This window comes from Homo sapiens, chromosome 19 (assembly GCF_000001405.40).
Source record: "Homo sapiens chromosome 19, GRCh38.p14 Primary Assembly".
NCBI classification, from domain to species: Eukaryota; Metazoa; Chordata; class Mammalia; order Primates; family Hominidae; genus Homo; species Homo sapiens.
Genome location: NC_000019.10, coordinates 44,612,623 through 44,637,476, shown reverse-complemented (window position 1 = coordinate 44,637,476; position 24,854 = coordinate 44,612,623). Strand labels below are relative to the sequence as shown.

Here is a 24,854-nt window from a genome sequence, read left to right as displayed (position 1 = left end):
AAATGCTGGGATTACAGGCGTGAGTCACCGTGCCTGGCTAACATCTCTTACTTATTTTATTTTATTTTTGAGATACTGTCACTCCCTCACCCAGGCTGGAGCACAGTGGCCATGATCTCGGCTCACTGAAACCTCTGCCTCCTGGGTTCAAGTGGTTCTCCTGCCTGAGCCTCCCCGGTAGCTGGGATTATAGGCATGTGCCCCCACATCCGGCCAATTTTTGTATTTTTAGTAGAGATGGGGTTTCACTATGTTGGCCAGGCTGGTCTTGAACTCCTGACCTCAGGTGAGCCACCTGCCTTGGCCTCCCAAAGTGGTGGGATTACAGGTGTGAGCCACTGCGCCTGGCCTGCTATGACACATTAATCATGTAAGGTAAATAGTCAGTGGCTGGCACATGGAGAGCCCTCAACAGACAAGACTTGGACTCAGTTCTGCTACTATTATTGCTAAGCAGAATGCCATGTTAGGTGGTTCTGTGTTGGTCACAGAAGCACCGAATTTTCCTCAAATGTGAGATATATCCCCCAGAGGAGTTTCAGCCATACTTGTGTGCCCTGTGCCTGCTATCTGTCAGGATCCTCCTATGGAGAGGTATTAAACTTGAACAGTGCAAAGCTCAAAGGTTGATCTTATTTGCAAACATGCCTCTCCCACTCTCAGGAAGAGAGGCTTCATGAGAAACCATTCAGAAGTGGTGGTGTTTTAATTTATTTTTTGGTTCTTTTTGAAAAAGAGAAAAAAAAAGCAGCATGTGTAAAAGACATATTTTGGGGTCTGGCCAATTTCCAAGGTAAAACCTCCCCCCTGTTTTCTGAGCACTGAGCTCCCACAGACAGGGATGAGCCTCTGATGCTTTGCTTGCACAACGTGTCACGGCGATGGGACCAAGGATGGCACCGAGTCAACCCATCAGATGTTTTCTTCAGGTGTTTCAGAAACAGGGCAAAGGGAGTCTGGTTACGTTGGGTTGTTCCCTTGAACAGAGATGTTGTAGACTTGGAAGCTATGGGATGGGTTTTTTTTTCCACGTGGATAGAGAGGTACAAAGCACCCATCTGCAGAGAGAGACAGAGAACTGTAAATTCCACATGCAGGAGGAAAGGAATTGTAAGGGCTTGGGGTGGGGGTGAAGTGTGTGTGTGGGGGAGGCTGGCAGAGAGAGCTGTGTGTACTTCCACATTTCTTCGTAGATTGCAAAAATGGCCACAGATTTTTCCCTTCTTAGCAAGAGGTGGAGTCAACTTCCCCATCCCTTGAATTTGGCCAGTCATGTAACTTTGGCCAATGAAGTCCTTTCTGTGGCAGAAGTGATGGCATGTCCATTTTGAGCTTGAGACTTAAGGGGCCTTGAAGTTTCTGCTGTTACTCTTGGAATCCTGCCTCTGCCATGTGAACAAGCTTGGGTCACCCTGCTGGAGGATGAGAGACAACATGAAGGAGAGGCCAGTTGTCCCAGCTATGAGGCTATCCTAGTCCAGACAGCCCCTGGGCAATCTGTCAACTGACCCCAGATGCAGGAGCGAGCCTGGCAGAGACCAGAACTACCCAGCTGAGCCCAGCCCAAATGGATGACCCATGAAATTGCAAGCTAAATAAATGGCTGTTGTTTCAAGCCAGTGAATTTTGGGGAGGCAGTTTGTTACAAAGCAAATGCTGACTCACACCTATGGATTGCTGAAAAATTTCATAGGTCCTTATATTAAACTGTTCATTTTATTTTTTCCTGAGCTACGTCAGTGAGTTTCTTTTGCATGGAGCCCAAGAGGTTTATGAAATATAGACTGCTTGTTTAGGCAGCTTCCAGGAATTTGATGAGCTGGGCAGATGGGGTGCTGGCAGTTGGCAAAAGAAGAGAAAAGCAGCTCCTGGAGCTCTCCACAGGAGGGGAACATCTCACAGACAAATGACCAGGGAACCAGGAGGGAGGAAATCACATATGGAGTCTCTGCCCAAGAACTTCTTTCTGTTCCCAAACCTAGGATTTCCTTCACACCCTTCCTGGTATTACCTCTTCAGCTGACAGGAGAGTTGCCCACATTTCAGCTGCATATTCCTATTCTCTGCCTGTCAGTCCTGCAGTGGAGAGAGAGAGAGAGACAGAGAGAGAGAGAGAGAGAGAGAGAGAATAAGAATCATCGACTGAATTATTATCCGTTCCCCAAATTAATATGTAGTCCTAACCCTCCAATGTGACTATATTTGGAGATAGATTCTTCAGACACAGTAAGGTTAAATGAGATCATAAGAGTGGGGTCCTGATCCAATAAGACTGGTATCCTTACAAGAAGAGGAAGAGACCCCAGGGATGAGCATAGAGAAAAGGTCACGTGAGGACACAGTGAGAAGGTGGCCTTCTGCAAGCCATGGAGAGGGGCACTATGGGACATCAAACTGGCTGCCACCTTGATCTTGGACTTCCAGCATCCAGACTGTGAGAAAATAAATTTTTGTTGTTTAAGCCCCCCCGGTCTGTAGCATTTTTGTTACAGCAGCTGGAGCAAACTAATACAATCATCATCATCACATGGCTGAGGTTTATTGAAGGCTCATCACATTCCAGGCACTGTTCACAGCTCATGACTCCCACCATTTTACTTAATCCTCACTCCTGTCTTTGGAGGGAAGTATAATCACATCCCTGGGTTTTTTTTTTTTTTTCTTTTTTCTTTTTTTTGGAGACAGTCTGGTTCTGTTGCCCAGGCTGGAGTACAGTGGCGCTATTTTGGCTTACTGCAACTTCCGCCTCCCAGGTTCAAGAGATTCTGTTGGGAACATGCCCCCCAAAATCTGGCCATAAACTGGCCCCAAAACTGGCCATAAATAGTGGCCTGACCCTCCAGTTCTTTCTTTTCTGGAGGACGCTGGGCGAAAAGTAGTTGCCCCAGTGACTGTTCGAGCAGCGCCTGGAGCGACTGCTGTCAGTTCTATTCAGGCAGGAATCCAGCAAGCTAGAAGAGAAGGTGATTTAGAGGCTTGGCAGTTCCCTGTTAGAATACACCCCCCAGATCAACAGGGAAATATTATAGCTACATTTGAGCCTTTTCCTTGTAAATTACTCAAAGAATTTAAACAAGCTATTCATACTAAAAAAGAATGTAGAAATAATCAGCAAGTCAGCTGCCAGATAGGGGAAAAAAGAAAACTGCTGAGTCTGAAATATGTCCAACATGTAAAAAAGGAAAACACTGGGCTAATCAGTGTCACTCTAAGTTTGATAAAGAAGGGAACCTGATTTCAGGAAATGCCATGAGGGGCCTGTCCTGGGCCCCATTCCAAACTGGGGCATTTCCAGCTCAGGCCATTCCCTCACACCCGTACAATGTCTGTCCCCCGCCACAGCCGGTAGTGCCGCAGTAGATTTATGCTGCACAAAAGCTGTGAGCCTTCTGCCTGGGGAACCCCCGTAAAAGGTCCCAACAGGAGTCTGTGGACCCTTGTTAGCGGGGACAATAGGATTACTTTTAGGAAGGTCTAGTTTAAGTTTAAAAGGGGTACAAACACATACAGGAGTCATTGATTCAGATTACAATGAGGAAATTCAAATTGTTACATCTACTTCTGTTCCCTGGAAAGCAGAGCCAGGAGAGCGCACAGCACAGCTCCTGATTGTGCCGTATGTGGGAATGGGGAAAAGTGAAATTAAATGAACAGGAGGATTTGGAAGCACAAAGAAACAAGGCAAAGCAGCTTATTGGGTAAATCAAATTACTGATAAACATTCCACCTGTGAAATAACTATTCAGGGAAAGAAATTTAAAGGCTTGGCAGATACAGGAGCGGACATTTCAATCATTTCTCTACAGCACTGGTCGTCCACGTGGCCAATTCAACCCACTCAATTTAACATAGTTGGAGTTGGTAAAGCCCCTGAAGTATATCAAAGTAGCTATATTTTGCATTTTGAAGGGCCAGATGGACAACTTGGGACTATTCAACCAATTATAACTTCTGTATCTATAACTTTGTGGGGGAAAGATTTATTACAACAATGGGGAGCACAAGTTCTAACTCCAGAACAATTATATATCCTTCAAAATCAACATATGATGCATGAAATGGGGCATGTCCCTAGCATGAGACTAGAAAAAAATTTGCAAGGTTTGAAAGAACCGCTTCAAGCGGAAAGACAAAGTTCCCGCCAAAGATTAGAATATCATTTTTGATGGCAGCCATTGTTAAGCTTCCAGAACCTATACCTTTAAAATGTTTAGAACAGTGGCCGCTGAGTAAAGAGAAACTGGAGGCTTCAGAGGACTTAAAACTGGCCTTTAATAGTCATAGATTTAAAAGACTGTTTCTTTACTATCCCCTTAGCTGAGCAAGACTGTGAACGGTTTGCATTTACATACTGTAGCCTGCTAAGCATTTTCATTGTTTTACAGATGGGTCTAGTAATAGTACAGCTTCTTATTCTGGCTTGAAAGGTAAAGTTTTCCAGACGCCCTATACTTCAGCTCAGAAAGCGGAGCTTGTAGGTGTAATTGAGGTATTGACTGCTTTTGATATGCCTATTAATATGATTTCTGATTCTTCATACGTGGTTCATTCCACACAGTTAATTGAAAATGCTCAGTTATGATTTCATACAGATGAACAACTGATGACAAAAACAAAAAAGAGGGAGAAACAGGGATTATGGGACAGCCCATACACAATTGAGTCTAGCATTATTAACTTTAAATTTTTTGAGCCTGCCCAAAGGCCAGATGTTATCAGCAGCTGAACAGCATCTACAGAAACCAGCTGCAAAGACAGAAGCAGAACAATTGGTTTGGTGGAGAGATCCAATAACAAAAAGTTGGGAAGTAGGTAAAATAATAACTTGGGGTGTTGGTTATGCTTGTGTTTCTCCAGGCCAACATGAACAGCTGATTTGGATACCATCAAGACACCTGAAATTTTAGCATGAGCCAGATGCCAAGGAAGAGACTCCGGGAGGATCCTGAGGACCCCCCGGTTGCAGCCATGTCGAGGCTGATGCTGAGGAGGACCCCAACTGTCACGAGAAACACCCGTCGAACACAGCCACCCAGCTGGAGACAGATCAAGAAGCTGTCACAGATGATGGAAGAAAACCTGAGGAAAGCGGGACAACCACTCAGAATGAGTAATGGTAGCTATGATAGTGGTAATCACCATTGCCGTGAGTATTCCTTAAAGAAGGGCTGACACAGAGAACAATTATACTTATTAGGCATATTCATCAATCTTGGCTGGCAATAATGCCTGGATGTAATCACTCTATGACACAGTTACATGTGCTTTCTGATCTCAGTATTTACCATAACAAATCTCCTCCTATAATTGAGGCATACTGCCCTCAAAAACCTATCTGTAACAAAATTGAACCTGGCCAGAAAAAATGAACATACTTGTTTAGGAAGATTGCATTGCAGAACAGGCAGAGGTGCTGCACAACGATTCCTATGGAATCATTATTAATTGGTCCCCTAAAGGGATGTTTAGCTTAAATTGCACCAACAGGCCCCCCCGCAAAACCTGGCCATAAACTGGCCCCGAAACTGACCATGAACAATATCTCTGTGGCACTGTGACATGTTCATGATGGCCATGACGCCCACGCTGGAAGGTTGTGGGTTTACTGGAATGAGGGCAAGGAACACCTTGCCCACCCAGGGCGGAAAACCACTTAAAGGCGTTTTTAAACCACAAACAACCGCATGAGTGATCTGTGCCTTAAGGACATGCTCCTGCTGCAGATAAGTAGCCATACCCATGCCTTTATTTCAGCCCATCCCTTTGCTTCCCATAAGGGATACTTTTAGTTAATCTAAAATCTATAGAAACAATGCTAATGTTAATAAATACGTGGGTAAATCTCTGTTTGAGGCTCTCAGCTCTGAAGGCTGTGAGACCCCTGATTTCCCACTTCACACTTCTATATTTCTGTGTCTTTAATTCCTCTAGCACCGCTGGGTTAGAGTTTCCCTGACTGAGCTGGTCTTGGCATGATTCTCCTGCCTCAGCCTCCCAAATAGCTGGGATTACAGGCATGCACCACCATGCCTTGTTAATTTTTGTGTTTTTAGTAGAGATGGGGTTTTACCATGTTAGCCAGGCTGGTCTCGAACTCCTAGCTTCAAGAGATCTTCCTGCCTCGGCCTCCCAAAGTGCTGGGATTACAGGCATGAGCCACTGTGCCCAGCCTGTTTTTAATTTTTATTTTCAATTAAAAAAATGTTTATTGAGACAGAGTCTCACTCTGTCACCCAGGCTGGAGTGCAGTAGAGCAATAATGGCTCACTGCCACCTCGAACTCCCAGACTCAAACGATCCTCCCACCTTAGCCTTTCGAGTAGCTGGAACCACAAGCATGTGTTATCATGCCCAGTGAATTTTTCTTTTCCTTTTTTTTTTTTTGTAGAGACATGAGTCTCGCTATGCTGCCCAGGCTGGTCTCAAACTCCTGGACTCAAGCAATCCTCCTGCCTCAGCCTCCCAAAGTGCTGGGATTACAATTGTGAGCACCACACACTGCCATATTCCTGTTTTACAGATGAGCCACTGAGGGGTTAAAGGGCTCCCCCAAATTCCACAAGGTCATGTACAGCAGAGCTGAGATGTGAATATAAGTAGCCTGGCTTCAGGTCCCTCTCCTCAACTACAAACAATGGGGATCTCTCCTGGCCCTTGGTGGGCATGGTAGGCATGCATGGGGTTCCTGCCTAGCCCATATACACTTCTTTTCTGAGAAATGTTCCTCCTCACTGGGAGGGTCAAGGCAGCCATGTCCATGACACGTGGCCTCATCTGCAAGGTCACAGCTGATTGGATGAGGCTAGCTCCTTCCAGCTGATGCCCCCATTGGCCTTGTCCCAGGAGTCTGTTGCTCACAACTAAATAGGTCTTGGCCACAAGGGCGGGGAAGACAGAAAGTGACCCTTCTTGCCTGCTCATGAGGGCAGGGACTTGAGGTGCCTGGGTGAGGATTTTCATGCCAGCCTGACTCCTCACCTTTCCCCTCTGTAGACTTAGATCAGGGTTTGATTCAGGGCCAGCCATTCATTCGCTGTGTGTCCTTGGGCAAGTTAATGAGCTTTTCTGAGCGTTAGCTCTACTCACTTGGGAAATGACGACAATAATAGCACCTAGCCCTGAGAGTTGGGGCTTTCAGCACCTGGTACGTGCTGAGGGGCCAGGACATCGGAGCTGCCACAATGATGAAGGCAATCTGGGTGGCCGAGGCTGCAGGCTGGCCCTCCCTTGCCCCTAGATGGTTGTGTGCAGGACTCATGGATGGAGACCTGGCCCCAGTTCCTCCCAGCTGGTCCACAATGTCTCCCTAAACCACTACCACCTACAGATTTCTCTTCCTCACAACATAGATTACAGAGGTCTGTACAGTTACTGATGGTGGAAAAGGCAGTGTAGACAGGAGCTAGAACAAAGTGGCAGGCAGGAGTCTAGGCTTGAATCCTTTCTCTCCAGCTGTGGGCCCTGGGCAGATCACTACTCTCTGGACTGAAATGAGATCTTCACCCCTACCACAGCCCCCTCACCTCCCCAGCTCTTATGGAGATTAAATAGAGTAATGCTTGGTGGCTTATGCTTGTAATCCCAGCACTTTGCAAGGCAGGCAGATCATGAGGTCAAGAGATCAAGACCATCCTGGCCAACATGGTGAAACTCCGTCTCTACTAAAAATACAAAAATTGGCTGGGCATGGTGGTGCCCGCCTGTAGTCCCAGCTACTTGGGAGGCTGAGGCAGGAGAATCACTTCAACCCAGAAGGTGGAGGTTGCAGTGAGCCGAGATTGCACCACTGCACTCCAGCCTGGCAATGGAGTGAGACCCCGTCTCAAAAAAAAAAAAAAAAAAAAGAAAGCATATAATAGGTGCTCAATACATGGTAAGATCAAGTTTTTTAAAAACATTATTTTTTTAATTTTTAGAAATAGGGTCTTGCTCTGTCAAGCAGGCTGGAGTGTGGTGGCACGATCATCGCTCGCTGCAGCCTCAAATTCCTGGGCTCAAGCAATCCTCCCACCTCAGCTTCCCAAGTGGTGGGACTATAGGTACGTGCTACCATACTCAGCTAATTAAAAAAAAAAAACTTTAGTTTTGGTAGAGACGGGGTCTCACTATGTTGCCCAGGCCGGTCTCAAACTCCTAGGCTCAAGTGATCCTCCTGCCTTGGCCTTCCAAAGTGCTAGGATTACAGATGTGGGCCACCATGCCTTGCTGATGGTAAGATATTAATAGCGTTGTAGTACTAGCCAACATATAGGATCAAATATAAGTCAGATGCCATCCTTCCCTTGCACTAGACCCTCCATGGCTTCCATCTCACTCAGAGCAAAAGCCAAGTGCTCAGAGAGCCTACAAGGCCTTATGCAAGGGTCTAGCTGCCTTCCCCTGCCTCCCTACTCCCTCTCTGACCCACATGTTACTTCTCTGCCCATTCTTCACACCACTCTGGCCACCCTGGGCTCCTCACTATTTCCTGAACATGCCAGGCAATCCTGCCTCAGGGCCTTTGCACTTGCTGTTCCCTCTGCTGGATATGCCATTCCTTCAGACCCTCACGTGGCTCCCCACTCCCTCCCTTTGTTCAAATGTCACTGTCCCAGGGAGGCCTTCCCTGACTCGTTAAATGCCACCCCACTCCACAATCTTTGTCCTGCTTCCCAGCCTCACTCCTCTCCTTAGCGCTCATCCAACATACTATCTTTTTTAAAAGATTTATTATTATTACTTTTTTGACTCAGGGTCTCACTCTGTGTCCAGTGTGGAGTGCAGTGGCATGATCCTAGCTCACTGCAGTCTAGACTTCCTTGGGCTCAGGTGATCCTCCCATCTCAGCCTCCTGAGTAGCTGGGACTATAAGTGCATGCCACCATGCCTGGCTAATTTTTATATTTTGAGAGAGATGACAAGATGTCTTGTCATGTTGCTCAGGCTGGTTTCAAACTCCTGGGCTCGAGTGATCTACCCACCTCGGCCTCCCAAAGTGCTGGGATTACAGGTGTGAGCCACTACACCTGGCCCATCCAATATACTATCTATATTTCACTCATTCATTGTGTTTCTTGATGGTGTCCCCGACCAGGATGCAAGTTCCATGAGGGCAGGGTCTTTCTGCTGTTTCTTCCCTCGGTATCCTCAGTGCCTGGCACAGAGCGGTCACTGCAGATATGTGTAGAGAGGACGAACATAGTACTTACCACATTCCAGGCACTGCTTTAAGTTTCTTAGAAATATTCACTCACTGGACGGGTGCAGTGGCTCATGCCTGTAATCCCAAAACTTTGGGAAGCTGAGGTAGGCAGATCATGAGGTCAGGAGTTTGAGATCAGCCTGACCAACATGGCGAAACCCTGTCTCTGCTAAATATACAAAAATTAGCCAGGCGTGGTGGTATGCACCTGTAATCCCAGCTACTCAGGAGGCTGAGGCAGGAGAACTGCTTGAACCTGGCAAGCAGAGGTTGCAGTGAGCCGAGATCGCACCACTGCACTCCGGCCTGGGCAACAGAACAAGACTCCATCTCAAAAAAAAAAAAAAAGAAAAAGAAAAATTCACTCACAACAACCCAACCCAACAACCCAGAGAGTCAGATGCTATTATTATCATCCCCATTTTGCAGATGGGCAAACTGAGGCACAGAGAAGGGGAGTGGCTTGCCCACAGCCTCACTGCTAGTAAGTTACAGAGCTGGGACTTGAAGCCAGACAGCCCAGCTCTAGTGTCCTCTTCTATCTCTTTGTTGCTGTGATCCCATTTTGGAAACCAGTGAGTCAGATGGGCTCCTCAGGAGTCGCTATCACCCTCCCTGATGGGGGTGTTGGTTTCATCTCTGTTTCCTTGTTGAGCCAGCTCTGTGCCCCATGGGGGCTGAGTGGATGTTGCCCAGTGGACGGGGGTGAGGGATAGAGGTACCTTAGGCTCTGGATGATGATGAAACACATGCCTGCAATCAGTGCCCCGGCTCCCAGGATCCCAGCCGCAAGGAGCCCGATGGCAGAGCCTCCTGACAGGGACAGAGTGGGGTCTGGCTCCATGGGCTCTGCTTCTGTGGGCTGCATGATGGGTTCTGGGGACCAAGGAGGGGTGAGATTGGAGGAGCCATCTGCCCGCCCTCCCTGTGCACCCCTCCCTCCTGCCATTCCCCCTCCCAAGTGTCTCTTCAATCCATCCTTCTCTTCCATCCTCCAGGTCTCTGGCCCCCTCTCCTCCCTGCTCTCCTGCCCTAGTCCAGCACCCATCCACCTTCCTACCACATGGAAGCCAGGAGGATCTTTCTAAAGCTCACACCTGACCCTGTTCCTCCCCTGCTCAGAACCCTGCTGTGGCTTCCCAGCACCCTGGGGCAGAAGTCAGTTTCTCACCTTAGCCTTCGAGGCCCTGCCACCTGGCCAGCCTCATCTCTCTCATTGCCCTGCCTTTATAGCCATGCAACCCTGGACTCCACTCAATTTTCCAAGCTCATCCCTTTCTTTCTCTCTTGCCTCCAGGCCTGTCCATGCTGCACTGTCTCTCTGGAATGCCATCTCTCTCTCTTGGCTTGCATAATTCCTTTTTTTTTTTTTTTTGAGACAGAGTCTCCCTCTGTCACCAGGCTGGAGTGCAGTGGCACAATCTTAGCTCACTACAACCTCCACCTCCTGGGTTCCAGTAATTCTTGTGTCTCAGCCTCCCTGGTAGCTGGGATTACAGGCACATGCCACCATTCCCAGCTAAATTTTGTATTTTTAGTAGAGATGGGGTTTCACCATCTTCTTCACCATCTACTTCACCATGTTGGCCAGCGTGGTCTCAAACTCCTAGCCTCAAGTGACCCACCCGCCTCAACCTCCCAAAGTGCTGAGATTACAGGAATGAGCCACTGTACCTGGCCAGCTAAGCATAATTCTCAGCTCAGGTGTCCCTTCTTCCAGGAAGCCCTCCTTAACTCCTAGGCTGAGTCTCATAGCTCTCTGGGCTCCCCCATCCCAGCCCTGCCCACTCTGGTGATCACTGTCTGTGGACACTGGACTGTAAGTCTTGTGAAGGCAGGGCTGCAGCTGTCTTGGTCACCAGAGTGTTCCCAGCTGTGTGGGCTGGCCACACAGCAAGTGCTCATAAACATTTCCTGGGCAGTTGATGAATGAGCAAAGGAGGTCTTGGAAGTATTGTCCTTCTCACTGAATATCAGGGTCACTAGGTGATATAAGATTTACATTTTTTCCCCCAGTGCATCAGCCCTGAAGCTCCCACTGGACCCTGGCCAGGGAGGTGAGGTGGTTCTCTGGGACCCAGCCAAGCTGAGATTCCCATCACGCATTCCATTTCCATGTCCCAGCTCTGAACCTTGACTCATGCATTCTTTCCTACCCCAAATACCCTCCCTCTCTTCTCTCCTGGCCAGTTCCTCTGCATACCTCTAGTTCACTCCAAGCCATGGTAGTCCATTTTCATACTGCTATGAAGAAATACCTGAGACTGGGTACTTTATTAAAAAAAAGGAGGTTTAATGGACTCCCAGTTCCACATGGCTGGGGAGGCCTCACAATCATGGCAGAAGGTGAAGGAGGAGCAAGGCATGTCTTACATGGCGGCAGGCAAGAGAATGTGTGCAGGGGAACTGCCTTTTGTAAAACCATCAGAACTCGTGAGACTTATTGACTATCACGAGAACAGCATGGGAAAAACTTGACCCCATGATTCAGTTACCTCCTACCGGGTCCCTCTCATGACACATGGGGATTATGAGAGCTACAATTCAGGATGAGATTTGGGTGGGGACACAGCCAAACCATATCACCATGTGTCCCTCCATGAATAACACACTAAAAACAATATTCACCATAACAGCTGCTATTCAAGGCACCTGCTGCCTGACAGTTGTTCTGCCAAACTCAGTCACCCCTTGTTTTCGTTCCTTATAACAACCCTGAAGAGGTATATAGGATTACCTCCATTATACACATGAGGAAACTGGGGCTCAGAGAGGGGAAGTCACTTGCGCTAAGTTACCCAGCCAGGAAGGCACGGGAACAGGGACTGAACTGAGTTTTGACCAGGTCCCAAACCACTTCTCTGATCTCAACAACTTGCTGTCATTTTGATTGCCACCTAGGGCTCCATATACCGACTGTATATGGTAATAGCTACAATTAATAATGACAATGCTAATTGCAACAGTGTTATTGGCTCACGGTTATTGAGCACTCATTAGTGTTCGATAGTGCTAGACATTATTGTTTTAAGCTATTCACCGGCTTATCTCATTGAATGCTCACAACTACACACTGGGGTAGGCACTATTATCTTCCCAGTGTTATAGATGAGGAAACTGAGGCACAGAGAAGTCAAGGCACTGGCTCAGAGTCACACAGCCAGGGATTCAAATTCCAAAGCCATTGCTTTGAACCACTCCTTAGATGATGACAATGGTGATTTTTTTTTTGAGACAGTCATCCTCTGTCACTCAGGCTGGTGTGCAGTGGTGCGATTACAGCTCACTGTAGCCTTAAACTCCTGGGCTCAAGTGATCCTCCCATTGCAGCTGGGACTACAGGTGGCATTACCATGCCTGATTAAATTTTTAGTTTTTTTTTTTTTTTTTTTTTTTGGTAGAGACAGGGTCTCACTATGTTGTCCAGGTTGGTCTCTAACTCCTGGGCTCAAGTGATCCTCCTGCCTCAGCCTCCCAAAGTGCTGGGGTTACAGGTGTGAGCCACTGCACCTGGCCCACTCCTTAGATTTTGATCTGCATTTTTTGTAGGTATGTGCTGAGACTCAGAGAGGCAAAGAGGCTTCCCATGTTCATGTAACAAGCAAATGGTTGGAGCCAAGGACCCAGGTAGCCTGGTCCAGATCCTAAGCTGGGCTTTCATCATAGTTAACCTCTTTGAGCCTCAGCCTGTCATCTGAAAATGGCCTAATTGGCTGGGCGAGGTGGCTCATGTCTGTAATCCCAGTAGTTTGGGAGGCCAAGGTGGGTGGATCACTCGAGCCCAGGAGTTCGAGACCAGCCTGGACAACACAGTGAAACCCCGTCTCTCCTAAAAATACAAAAATAGGCCAGATGTGGTGGTGCATGCCTGTAATCCCAGCTACTCAGGAGGCTGAGGCATGAGAATCACTTGAACCTGGGAGGCAGAGGTTGCAGTGAGTTGAGATCACAGCACTGTACTCCAGCCTGGGTGACCGAGCAAGACTCTATCAAAAAAAAAAAAAAGAAGAAGAAGAAGTAGAAGAAGGAGAAGGAGAAGAAGAAGGAAGAAGAAGGAGGAGGAGGAGGAGGAAAAGAAGGAGAAGAAAGAAAAAGAAGAAGAAAGAAAAGAAGAAGAAGAGGAAAGAAGAAAGAAGAAGAAAGTGGCCTAATAATCCACAGTCCGCCAGGTGGATGGAACATTGGAATGACATTTTGCCTATAAAGGGTCTCACAGGGGACTGCTCATAGTAGGTGGCTTAATGGAATCATAGAGGCTGCCACAGGCTGGAGAGGGTGCAGGGCTCTTGGGTGGGGTGGGGTGGGGTGGAATGGGGGACTCACTTGGCAGCGAGATGGTTACAGGCTCAGAGACCAGCTGTTTCTTGCTGTTTGTGGCTATGCACATGTAGGTGCCCAGCTGCTCACAGGACAACCGTCGGATGAACAGCTTCTCTCCCATCCCACAGGGCACCCCACTGAAGGTCCAGCTCAGCACAGGCTCAGGGTCCATTGTCACCACCCACTGCAGGATCACAGAATAGTTGAGCTCACTCTGGATGACTCCCCGGATAGCAGCTGGGAATGTCTTCAGTGGCATTAGTTGGAGGCTGTCTGTGCAAACAGGGAACAAGGCCACAAGAGTGGAGTCCACTCAGAAAAGCTGGGCATTTCTTCTGCCCACCATAGAGACATCCATTCTTTCATGTGTTCATTCATTCATTAATTCACCCATGAATGTGTTTGAAGAGCCTGGTCTGTGCCCAGTGCCCCCAGTCCAACCCCTTGCCCTTCCCACTTCCAACGGCCAGCACCTGCATCCCGTTGCCTGAGGACTTTCACTGGTGGCCAAAGCCTACTCTGCCCATGGAGGCAGCAGGCTGGAAGTGCTGGGGAATGAGCACATCAGGGAGCAGCCCTCCACAATGCCAGGACACGTTGGTATATAAATTCCCCAGCTCCCTCTCTGCTATGTGGGATAACTCTGCAGAGTCATTCCACACCAGGGCCTGAGTTCCCCAATGGGACTGTGCTCCAGTTGCCCATGGTAACCAGCTTGGGAACACAGCTTTTATTATTTCCTGCCTTCTCTGCCTAACTTCCCCACTCTCGAGTTCCTTGCACCTCCCAAACAGACTATCTGTCCTTGAATCCTCGCCTCTGGATCTGGGTGAACCAAATCTAGGACTCTAAGGCTCTAGGACTCGGGGGCTCAGCAGTGATTAAACAGACGCTGTTGCTGCCCTCATGAAACTTACGATTGAGTGAGGAGAGGGTCAACAAACTGACAAGTATATATAGTGGTGGTAAGGGCTGTGAGGAAAACTGCACAGGGCTGTGGGGTTGGACTGGGGGTGGGGTAAACCCGTTTCAGGTAAGGTGGGTCAAGGAGGACCTCTTTGGGGAGGTTATGTTTGAGCAGAGTCCTGAAGAAGCAGAGGAATAAGCCATGTGGATTCCTAAGAAAAAAATGTTCCAGGCAGAGGGAACACCAAGTAAAAGGCCCTGAGATGGGTGTGAGCCAAGGTGGGCATAGAGAGGAGGGAAAGGGAGAGAGGGCTGGGAGAAGAAGTCAGAGAGATAATGGGAGCAGATCATGCTGGGGTTTCCTGGGCCAGGGTGAGGACTCTGATTTTGACTCTGAGTGCAGTAGGACCCATGGGAGGACTGCCCAGAGGAGGGACGTGAGCTGGCTTAGGTTTGAACAGGCTCACTCTGGCTATCATGTGAGAACTTGACTTTAAGTTTGGAGGAGTGGAAACAGCCCAGCGAGGAGGTGACCCAAGAGGTCCCCACTTCTTGTCTGCATTTTTCAGGTGAAAGGCTCTGAGGTTTGGGGCTCATTAGGGCCAGGCTTCGTGGTCTAGTAGGGACACATCTGGGATTTGAACTCCCAGACTGTGCTGGGAACTTCCACTTAGAGCTGATTTCTGATTTCAATGCAATGTTATAAGTGAAAAGAACTTTAGCACAACCAGAGACCTCATGAAAGGCTTCCTGGAGGAGGTGTCTGAGTTAAGCCTTGAAGGAGGAGAAAGAGCCCACTAGGTGTACAAACAAGAGGCAATATAACAGCCACCTGGATTGGGCTCTTTTTTTTTTTTTTTTCTTGAAACGGAGTTTTGCTTTTTCATCCAGGCTGGAGCTTGGCTCACTGCAACCTCTGCCCCCTGGGTTCAAGCAATTCTCCTGCCTCTGCCTCTCTATAGCTGGATTATAGGCACCCGCCACCACATCCGGCTAATTTTAGTATTTTTAGTGGAGATGGGGTTTCACCATGTTGGCCAGGCTGGTCTCAAACTCCTGACCTCAGGTGATCCACCCGCCTCGGCCTCCCAAAGTGCTGGGATTACAAGCATGAACCACCATACCCGGCCATGGATTGGGCTCTTACTGTGAGCCAAGCACACGTGTTAATCCATGGCTTGTTATACTGCATGCGAGACCCATGCCCAGGTGTCTAAATCATTAGTAGACTGTGATCAACATTCAAAACATGAAAAGAAATATTATAGAAAACATCAGAGAGCATTACTCATAGTAATAACTGTTACTACACTTGCCTTTTGGTTAGTTGTGGGATATACTGGACATGATGTGAAAAGCATTTCTCATGAAAGCCACTGGATTTATTCATTTAATCCTCACAACAATCCTATGAAGTAATTATTATTATTCCTTTTTTTTTTTGAGACAGGGTCTTGTTCTGTCACTCAGGCTGGAGTGTAGTGGTGCAATCATAGCTTACTGCAACCTCCACCTCCCGGGCTCAAAGTCTCCTCCAGAGTAGTTGGGATTACAGGCGTGCGCCACTACATCCAGCTATTTTTTGTAGAGATGGGGTCTCACCATGTTGCCCAGGCTGGTCTTGAACTCCCGGGCTCAAGTGATCCACCCACCTTGTCCTCCCAAAGTGCTGGGGTTAAAGGTGTAAGCCACCGTGCCGGCCTTATTCCCATTTTGATGAGAAAAGGAAGGCTCAAAGAAGTCAAGTCCTTTGAAACAAACAGGGCTATTTTTTTTTTTTTTTTTTTGAGACAGGGTCTTGCTGTGTCCCCCAGGCTGGAGTGCAGTGGCAAGGTTACAGCTCACTGCAGCCTCAACCTCCCGGGCTCAAGGGATCCTTCCATCTCAGCCTCCTGAGTAGCTGGGACTATGGGCGCACATCACCAGGCTTGGCTAATTTTTAAATTCTTTGTTGAGATGGGCGTCTCATCATGTTGCCCAGGCTGGTCTCGAACTTCTGAGCTCAAGCAATCCTCTCACCTCGGCCTCCCAAACTGCTGGGATTACAGGTGTGAGCCATAGCACCTGGCCAGGGCTAACATTTACTTGCTCTTTGTCAGGCATTGTTGTAGGCATTTAGCACTGATTAACTCACTTACTCCTCACAGTCACCCTATGAGGTAGGTTCCACTATGACCTCATTGCACAGATGGGGAAACTGAAGTGCAAAACAGAAAGTTACTTTTTTGCAGGGACTCAGGGGCATAACAGATGCCAGAGGGATTTGATCCAGGGAGTTCTGGCCACACAGCCTGCACCACCGAGCGTGAGTTCCTGCAACCTCTCTCTTTAGAAAGGGCCCTTCGGACTGAGAATGGCATAGGCGAAGGTGTGGAGCCAGGCCTTTAGAAGAATTAGCCTTCAGGCCGGGCCCGGTGGCTCACGCCTGTAATCCCAGCACTTTGGGAGGCCAAGGCAGGTGGATAACCTGAGGTCAGGAATTTGAGACCAGCCTGGCCAACATGGTGAAACCCTGTCTCTACTAAAAATATAAAAATTAGCCGGGCGTGGTGGCGGGCGCCTGTGATCCCAGCTACTCAGGAGGCTGAGGCAGGAGACTCGCTTGAACCCGGGTGGTGGAGGTTGTAGTGAGCCGAGATCGCACCACTTCACTCCAGCCTGGGCGACAGAGCGAGGCTCCATCTCACACACACACACACACACACACACACACACACACACACACACAAAATTAGTCATCAAATCACAGAAATACAGATGGATGAACCTCAGCGGTCCATAAATTCTCTGGGAGGGGAGTAAAAACCCCTCTGTGCAGAAGTGGGGTTCTAAGTGTGCAGTGGCATGGTCTTGGCTCATTGCAACCTCCGACTCCCAGGTTCAAGCGATTCTACTTCCTCAGTCTCCTGAATAGCTAGGATTACAGGCGCCTGCCACTATGCCCGGCTAATTTTTGTATTTTTAATAAATACGGGGTTTCACCATGTTGGTCAGGCTGGTCTTGAACTCCTGAACTCGTGATCTGCCCGCCTTGGCCTCCCAAAATGCTGGGATTACAGGCGTGAGCCACTGCGCCTGGCCGACACTGGAACTTTTTGAGTCTTTGTTAGAGCATCAGAATCTGAACCCTAACTAAGTTGATCTCTGTTATGAACTGAATTGAGTCCCCCACCAAACATATATGTTGAAACCCTAACCCCCAGTACCTCAGAATGTGACCGTATTTGGAGATAAGGTCTTTAACGAGGTGATTAAGTTAGAATGAAGTTGTTAGGGTGGGTCCTAATCCAACCTGACTGGTGCCCTTATAAGAAGAGGAAGTTTGGACACACAGAGAGACACCAGGGATGTGCACACACAGAAGAAAGACCATGCAAGGACAGAATGAGAAGGCACCCTTCCGCAAGTCAAAAAAGAGAGGCCTCAGAGGAGATGAAACCTGCCAGCAGCTTCATCTTGCAATCCATCCTTCAGAACTGTGAGGGAATAAGTTTCTGTTGATTAAGCCTAGAGTATTTTGCCCGAGCCGACTAGGACAGTCTCTGGACTATCTTCTAAAAGGAGGATGGGTCTGGTTACTCTCAGGGCTTTGTTTTCCTAATTCAGATATGAAAGTTTGAGTCCAGGTGATAAAAATATAGATGAGGTTGAAGGCTGCTACCAGACCTTCTCTACCTTTCCCAAGTGATGATGAATGCGTATCTCATGAATGTCTGTTGCAAGTCTTGGCTGTTATAATGTGGATATTTATCCCTGCCAAAATCTCATGTTGAAATGCGATCCCCAGTGTTGGTGGTGGGGCCTCAGTAAAGGTGTTTGGGCCACAGGGGCGGATCCCTTATGGCTTGACGCTGTCCTCATGGTAGTGAGTTCTCATGAGATCTGATTGTTGTAAAATGTGGCACTTCCTCTCTGACTCTCTCTTTCTCTTGCTCCTGTTCTCACGGGAGACACCTGCTCCTCCTTTGCCTTCGCTATGATTAAAAGCTCCCTGAGGGCTCCTTAGAAGCTGAGCAGATGCTGGCATTACACTTCCACCTGTGGAACCATGAGCCAATCAAACGTCTTCTTCTTTTTTTTTTTTTTTTAAATAAATAACCCAGTCTCAGGTATGTCTTTATAGCAATGGAAGAACAATCTAACACAACGACAAAAAATAGCCACAACACATTGCAACTCCTCTCCTTAAGAGGTGGGGCCTTTTTCCTTCCTGTTGAAGCTGGGCTGGCCATGTGACTTGCTTTGACCAATAGAAGGTGGCAGAAGTGATGGTGGTCAGTTTTGAGCCTGGGCCTGAAGGAGTTTTGCAGCTTTACCTCTTGTTCCTCTTCCATTGCTGAGTGAACAAGCCTGGGATAGCCTGCTGGAGGTTGGGAGGCTATGTGGCCCACTCATCCCCATCACTCCAGCCACCAGCTGGTCCATGGCCAGGCACATGAAGGAGGTCATTCTGGACCAGCCAACACCCAGACACCCCAACAGCTGAACACAACAACTGTCCAGCTAGATAAGTGATTGATGTTTTAAGTTTTGGGGTGGTTTATTGGGGAGCAATGGATAACCAGCATGCAAAGTGTCCTGGTGGGCTCTTCTGAGGTCCAGTGGGTCTGCTTTCTGAGAAGTCAGCCCCTCCCACTGCGGGGCCCCACTCACTCTTGACATGGATCTGCTCCGTCACACTCCTGTGTCCCCTGCTGGTTTCCAGCACGACGGTGTAGCTGCCCGAGTCCTGAGCCGTCATTTTCTAATGACCAGGCTGCCTTGGGTTCCCAGCATCTCCCGGCCAGTGTGAGCAGGTCCTGGGAGGCCCTTCGGGGAGAATATCATGGCTGCTGGCTGGGCGTCATACCCTCAGAACCAAGACGTGGTGAGAATGCCTTCAAGCCTTCCGGGGACAGGAAGATGGACACTGGCTCCTTCGGTCAAGGTGTTCAGCTGTGCCGAGAAGGGCAGCTCTGAGAAGGCAGAGCAGGTGCAGGATGTGAGCAGGGCGCCTTGGAAGAGCAGGGAAGGAGGAGGAATCATTGATTCCTCTCCTTGACCCCTTGAAGCACGCACGTATATTATACTGGATGTTGCAAAAATTGGTTTTCTACCCTTCTCTGCTCCACTCTGCTGCCTGAAAGGCTGACTTCTCTGAGCTGTGTTGTTGGGGTCCCCTTACCTTTTGCTGCTGGTTGGTTTCTGTCAGTGGGCACGTTGGCAGAAGAGGAGAGGGCAGCGGGGGAGTAAGCTTGAAGGGATTAGTCCTACAGTTGGCTGGGTCCTTCTGTTCCAGCCCACAGCTCCTGTTGAGTGTCTCTCTCCATATACTACTAATGTCTTCTGGTTCTGGGATCTGCTTTGCTCCATTTACTCCTACCCAACCCCTCACCCAACATTTTCTCACCACCTTATTTAGAAATAATAAAGGGTTATAAATCAATGTGAATGGTACATTTTTAAAGGGTGACATAATGTTTGTTCTGGACACTGATTAAGTTATAACCTTGCCACTATTTTTTCTTTTTAAAATTAACAAATACAAATTGTGTATATTTATGGTGTACAATGTGATGTTTTAAAATACATATACATTGTGGAATGGCTAAATTGAGCTAATTAACATATGCATTACCTCATGTACTTATTTTTTTTGTGGTGAGAACACATAAAATCTACTTTCTTAGCCAATAATTTACTCATTTAAAGCGTACAATTCAAGAGCTTTTAGTATACTCACAGAATTGGGCAACCATCACCTCAAGCAATTTAAGGACATTTTCGTCACCCCAAAAAGAATCCCTGCGTCTCTTGGGCACCACACCTAATCCTTTCACTCCTGATAGGCATTTTTTTTTTTTTTTTAATATAAGAGTAGGCCGGTGTGTTGGCTCATACCTGTAATCCTGCACTTTGCGGGGGCGGGGGGAGGGGTGGGGCAAGGCTGGAAGATTACTTGAGCCAGAAGTTCAAGACTAGCCTGGGCAACTGAGTGAGGCCCTGTCTCTACAAAAATAAAAAATTCGCTGGGCATGGTGGCACGCGCCTGTAGTCCCAGCTACTCAGGAGGCTGAGGTGGGAAGATTCCTCAAGTCCAGGAGTTTGAGGTTTCAGTGAGCTATGATCCTGCCACTGCACTGCAGCCTGGGTGACAGAGCAAGACCTTTCTCCCTCTCTCTCTCTCTCTTTTTCTCTCTCTCCCTCTCTCTCTCTACATATATGGTATTACTCATATATACTCATATATATATATTTATTTATTTCCATTTTTATAGCAGAAAACTTAGACTCCTAGAAATAAACACTATGTTTTGGAAACTTTTACTGTTTTTTTTTTTCAAGCTTTATGCTTGTTATTGTTTCTATTTCCTTCTTCTTTTTTTTTTTTTTTTGAGATGGAGTCTCGCTCTGTCGCCAGGCTGGAGTGCAGTGGTGCAATCTCGGCTCACTGCAAGCTCCACCTCCCGGGTTCAAGTGATTCCCCTGCCTCAGCCTCCCGAGTAGTTGGGACTACAGGCGTGCGCCACCACGCCCAGCTAATTTTTTTGTATTTTAGTAGAGACAGGGTTTCACCATGTCGGCCAGGATGGTCTCAATCTCCTGACCTTGTGATCCGCCTGCCTGGGCCTCCCAAAGTGCTGGGATTACAGGTGTGAGCCACCACGCCTGGCTGTTTCTATTTCTTTTAAACAAAAAGTAGAATTATGTTCAGCAATTCTTACAAGGCATCACAAAAAACAACGTCTGCTCCTCATTATAGAATAATTTGGAAAGTAAAGTAAAAAGCAGTAAAACAAATCCTTAAGCCTAATACTCAGATAACCACTTTGGGGAGTATATTTTCTTTGAAGGTTTTTCATAATTTTTAAAATTAATTTTTAATCACTCAAGAGCTTCTCCTTAGGAAAAAAAAGTAGACCCATATAAAGCCAAATATCCCTTTGACCTCCACCCCTACGCTTGTCCTGGTCACACTCTCGAGGTACCTGCTGTTATCAAGAGAACATTTTGTATTTACAGAGTTGAAGTTCGTTGCACTGTGGCTTTGTTTTCCTTTGGACAATGTTTTGTAAGCTCCCCCAGCTCACTTTGCAAACATGTTGTAAACCACTTTCTAAAAACTGGTTGCTGTTTTATCCAGTGGCACAGCCAATTTCCAAAGTACCCCACCCTCCCGCCCCCAGGAAGATCCAGCAACACACAGCATGCCGTGTTTCCATCACAAAACTACAGCAGCCTAGGAGAAACTTTCCAATCTCCTTTTCTTTCCTTCCTCCCCTCTGCCCTCCGCCCTGAGAGAGGCCTCAGACAACAGCTCTGACAAAATAGGGAAGAGGCCCACCACGTCCCTTTCCTCCTTCCAGTGTGACACCTGCCTGAGCTGGGGACAGAGCAAAGCTTTGAACTAGGTGGACTTTGAGGTTTTAAAATTACATGGAACTGAACTTTTTTTTTTTTTTTTTAAAGATGGAGTTTCGCTCTTGTTGCTCAGGCTGGAGTGCAATGGCACCATCTCAGCTAACCGCAACCTCCGCCTCCTGGGTTCAAGCAATTCTCCTGCCTCAGCCTCCCAAGTAGCTGGGATTACAGGCATGCACCACCACGCCCAGCTAATTTTCTGTTTTTAGTAGAGACGGGGTTTCTCCATGTTGGTCAGGCTGGTCTTGAATTCCTGACCTCAGATGATCCGCCCGCCTTGGCCTCCCAAAGTGCTGGGATTACAGCACTTTGTAATCCCAGCCACTGCACCCGTGAGCCACTGCACCCGGCTCAGAACTGAACTTTATTTATTTATTTTTGAGACGGAGTCGTGCTCTGTCGCCCAGGCTGGAGTGCAGTGGCACGATCTTGGCTCACTGCAAGCTCCGCCTCCCGGGTTCACGCCATTCTCCTGCCTCAGCCTTCTGAGTAGCTGGGACTACAGGCGCCCGCCACCAGGCCTGGCTAATTTTTTGTATTTTTAGTAGAGACGGGGTTTCACCGTGTTAGCCAGGATGGTCTCGATCTCCTGACCTCGTGATCCGCCTGCCTCGGCCTCCCAAAGTGCTGGGATTACAGGTGTGAGTCACCGCGCCCAACTCAGAAGTGAACTTTTAAGACCTGGATAAGGAAGCAATTCATTCACTATCTGAGAGGCAGATGTGTGTGGTCTCTGGAAAGTGTGGTCTGGGAAGCCAGCCCATCTGGCTTCAAATCTTCAGTCTGCCACTTCCAAGTGTGTGACCTGGAGAGGGCACATGACCTCTCTGAACCTCAGTTTCCCCTTCTGTGAAATAGGGATCGTACAGCTCTGATCTCAAAGAGTTGTGATAAGAGGTAAATGTTACTATAGGAAAGCACTTAGAACGGGCTGACAGGCTGGGCGCAGTGGCTCACGCCTGTAATCCTGGCACTTGGGGAGGCCGAGGCAGGAGGATCGCTTGAGCCCAGGAGTTCGAGACTAGCCTGGGCAACATAGTAAGACCTCATCTCTACTAAAAATAAAAAATTAGCTGGGTTTGGTGGCGCATACCTATGGTCCCAGCTACGCAGGACGCTGAGGCAGGAGAACAGCTTCAGCCCAGCAGGTTGAAGCTGCAATGAGTCATTATCGGGCCACTGCACTGTAGCCTGGACAACAGAGCAAGACCTTGTCTCAAAACAAAACAAAACAAAAAAACAAAAACCCCAAACAGGCTGGTATATAGATCTATTCAGTTACAGTGACCTTCTATTACGGCTGTTATTATTTTATGATTGTTATTATTTATATGTATTATTACTAAGTTGCGGATTGCAGGGGTGAGACAGGGCATTCTGGTGGAAGGGGGCTGGGCTGGGGTCCCAAATTCTGATCCTGCCCCTTGCCAGCCCTGTGATCTTGGGTAGGTGACCTGTTCTCCTCTTTGCGCCTCACTTCCCTTCTTCCTAAAAGAAGCCAATAGGGTCATCTCTTGTGGCGGAGTGGCCTTCAAGAGTTCTCATGAGTTGGGTGCCTGAGCTGCATGGGCCTCAAACTGACAGGGTCAAAGCTCTGAGTGGGGGTGACTTGGACTCGTAAGGAGACACTCTCCTCCTTGTCCCTGGCCCGTGGTGAAGCCGCTGTCTCCAACGCACCTGTTAAAAGCAGCTTCCTCCAGGTAGGGGTGTGGCTGGAGCTGACGTCCAGAGGACCCCTCATCTCGTGTTCTGTCCAGGGACTGTGCAGAGAAGGTCTCCTCATCACACATGGGGTCTTCATAGACCTGTACAGTCGCGTCTGCAGCCCCGGCCTCACCCTGCAGGACCCTGCTCACGATGACCATGCCCTACCCTGGCCACTTCCCCACATGACTTACACCAAGTTGGCTGGGAAGTCACCTCCAGCCGCATCCTTCTCTAGCATCGGGTCAGTGGTGGTGGTGGGTGGGGACCAGGCTGGGACAGGGTTCCTGGGAAGGGGGCTCTGAGGTTTTGCTCTCATTCTCTCACCGTACAATCCCCGCCGGGAGATGGAGGGAGAAGCAGAATCGCCCGCTCCTATCACTCACATCAAAGGCAAGGAATGGCCAAAGGTCAACCTGGTAGGAGGTGACGGGGCTTTGGACTCTGAACCACAGCTTTTCTCCTCTGTAAAATGGAGGCGTTAATAATAGTGCCTGCCCCAGAGTCAGACAGGGCCGTGGACACAAGGTGCTTGGAGTAGTGCCTGGTCACGTAGTAGGCGCTCAACGAATGGCAGTCACTATGAAGTCAATGCTAATTATAATTTGGTGTCTAGGATGTCCTGGAGGCATGTTTAGAATCCCGTTATCAGGAGCTTGCTCAGACTATATCCTGAATTTTAGATTCTAGAAGGATAAGCTACACTAGCTACTTTTTCCTCACCCTTCTCACTCCCCAGGTCCATTCTTTCCTCCTCAAATTAATAATTATATTACTCAAACTAATAGCTGGTGTTTATTGAACACCTACTATATGCCGGACACAGCATTAACCTTGTAACAGGGTTGCCTAATTTGAATCCTCATAGCAACCTCGAGGGGTAGATATGAGCATCCCCATTTTCTCGTGGTGCACAGGGGCTAAGTAACTCACCTACCATCACACAACCGTTCACAGGGGCTTTCTGCCAGTTTTTGGAGGCACCAGCTCAGGGGCTTTGCATGAGCCGTTCCCTCTCCTTAGAACCTTACTCATGTAATCTCAAAGCTGACTGTATCTTATTATTTTGGCTTAATTCACACACATCACTCTATCAAAAAGGCCTTTCTTAATGCCTGCTGCAACTCAGTTCCCCACCTCTTTGCTAGCAAGCCACACTGTTTTGTTTTCTTTACATCATTTACCGCTATTTTAGATGATTTATTTATTTGTCCACTTGTATTATCTGTCTCTCCCTCCTTAGTCCCACCTCTCCGACTTGAATATCAGATCCAGGAGGGCAGGGATGTTGTCTGGCTTGTGGCTATGTCCCTAGTGACTAGAACAGTGCCTTGCATATAAC

At 48.1% G+C, this 24,854-nt stretch overlaps 1 protein-coding gene across 1 annotated transcript, besides 2 other annotated features; it reads right to left on the bottom strand.

Moving 5' to 3' along the window:
- Nucleotides 434-728: an enhancer, noted in NCBI's record as "tiled region #2639; HepG2 Activating DNase matched - State 5:Enh". NCBI's record gives its function as "activates a minimal TATA promoter and a strong SV40 promoter by Sharpr-MPRA in HepG2 cells {active_cell/tissue: HepG2}" and the evidence as "EXISTENCE:reporter gene assay evidence [ECO:0000049][PMID:27701403]".
- IGSF23 (immunoglobulin superfamily member 23) lies at nt 696-23,914 on the bottom strand. The gene is made up of 5 exons (NM_001205280.2): nt 23,707-23,914; nt 13,505-13,770; nt 9,904-10,057; nt 2,012-2,076; nt 696-1,058 (listed from the first exon to the last, which is right to left on the bottom strand). Exons 1-4 carry the CDS (start codon nt 23,829-23,831, stop codon nt 2,043-2,045), a joined length of 579 nt encoding a protein of 192 aa, NP_001192209.1. The 5' UTR covers nt 23,832-23,914; the 3' UTR covers nt 696-1,058; nt 2,012-2,042.
- Nucleotides 22,001-22,502: an enhancer, noted in NCBI's record as "H3K4me1 hESC enhancer chr19:45118285-45118786 (GRCh37/hg19 assembly coordinates)". NCBI's record gives its function as "activates a minimal SCP1, AML or CMV promoter by ChIP-STARR-seq in naive H9 embryonic stem cells {active_cell/tissue: H9 hESC(naive)}" and the evidence as "EXISTENCE:reporter gene assay evidence [ECO:0000049][PMID:30033119]".

What these genes read in the sequence shown, in the direction of transcription:
- IGSF23 (NM_001205280.2), bottom strand. Translation starts at nt 23,831, where the DNA reads ATGAGAGCAAAACCTCAGAGCCCCCTTCCCAGGAACCCTGTCCCAGCC. An exon ending in TGTAACCATCTCGCTGCCAA is followed by an intron (nt 10,058 to 13,504) that starts GTGAGTCCCCCA and finishes CTTGGTCCCCAG; the next exon opens with AACCCATCATGCAGCCCACA. An exon ending in ATCATCATCCAGAGCCTAAG is followed by an intron (nt 2,077 to 9,903) that starts GTACCTCTATCC and finishes TCTCCACTGCAG; the next exon opens with GACTGACAGGCAGAGAATAG.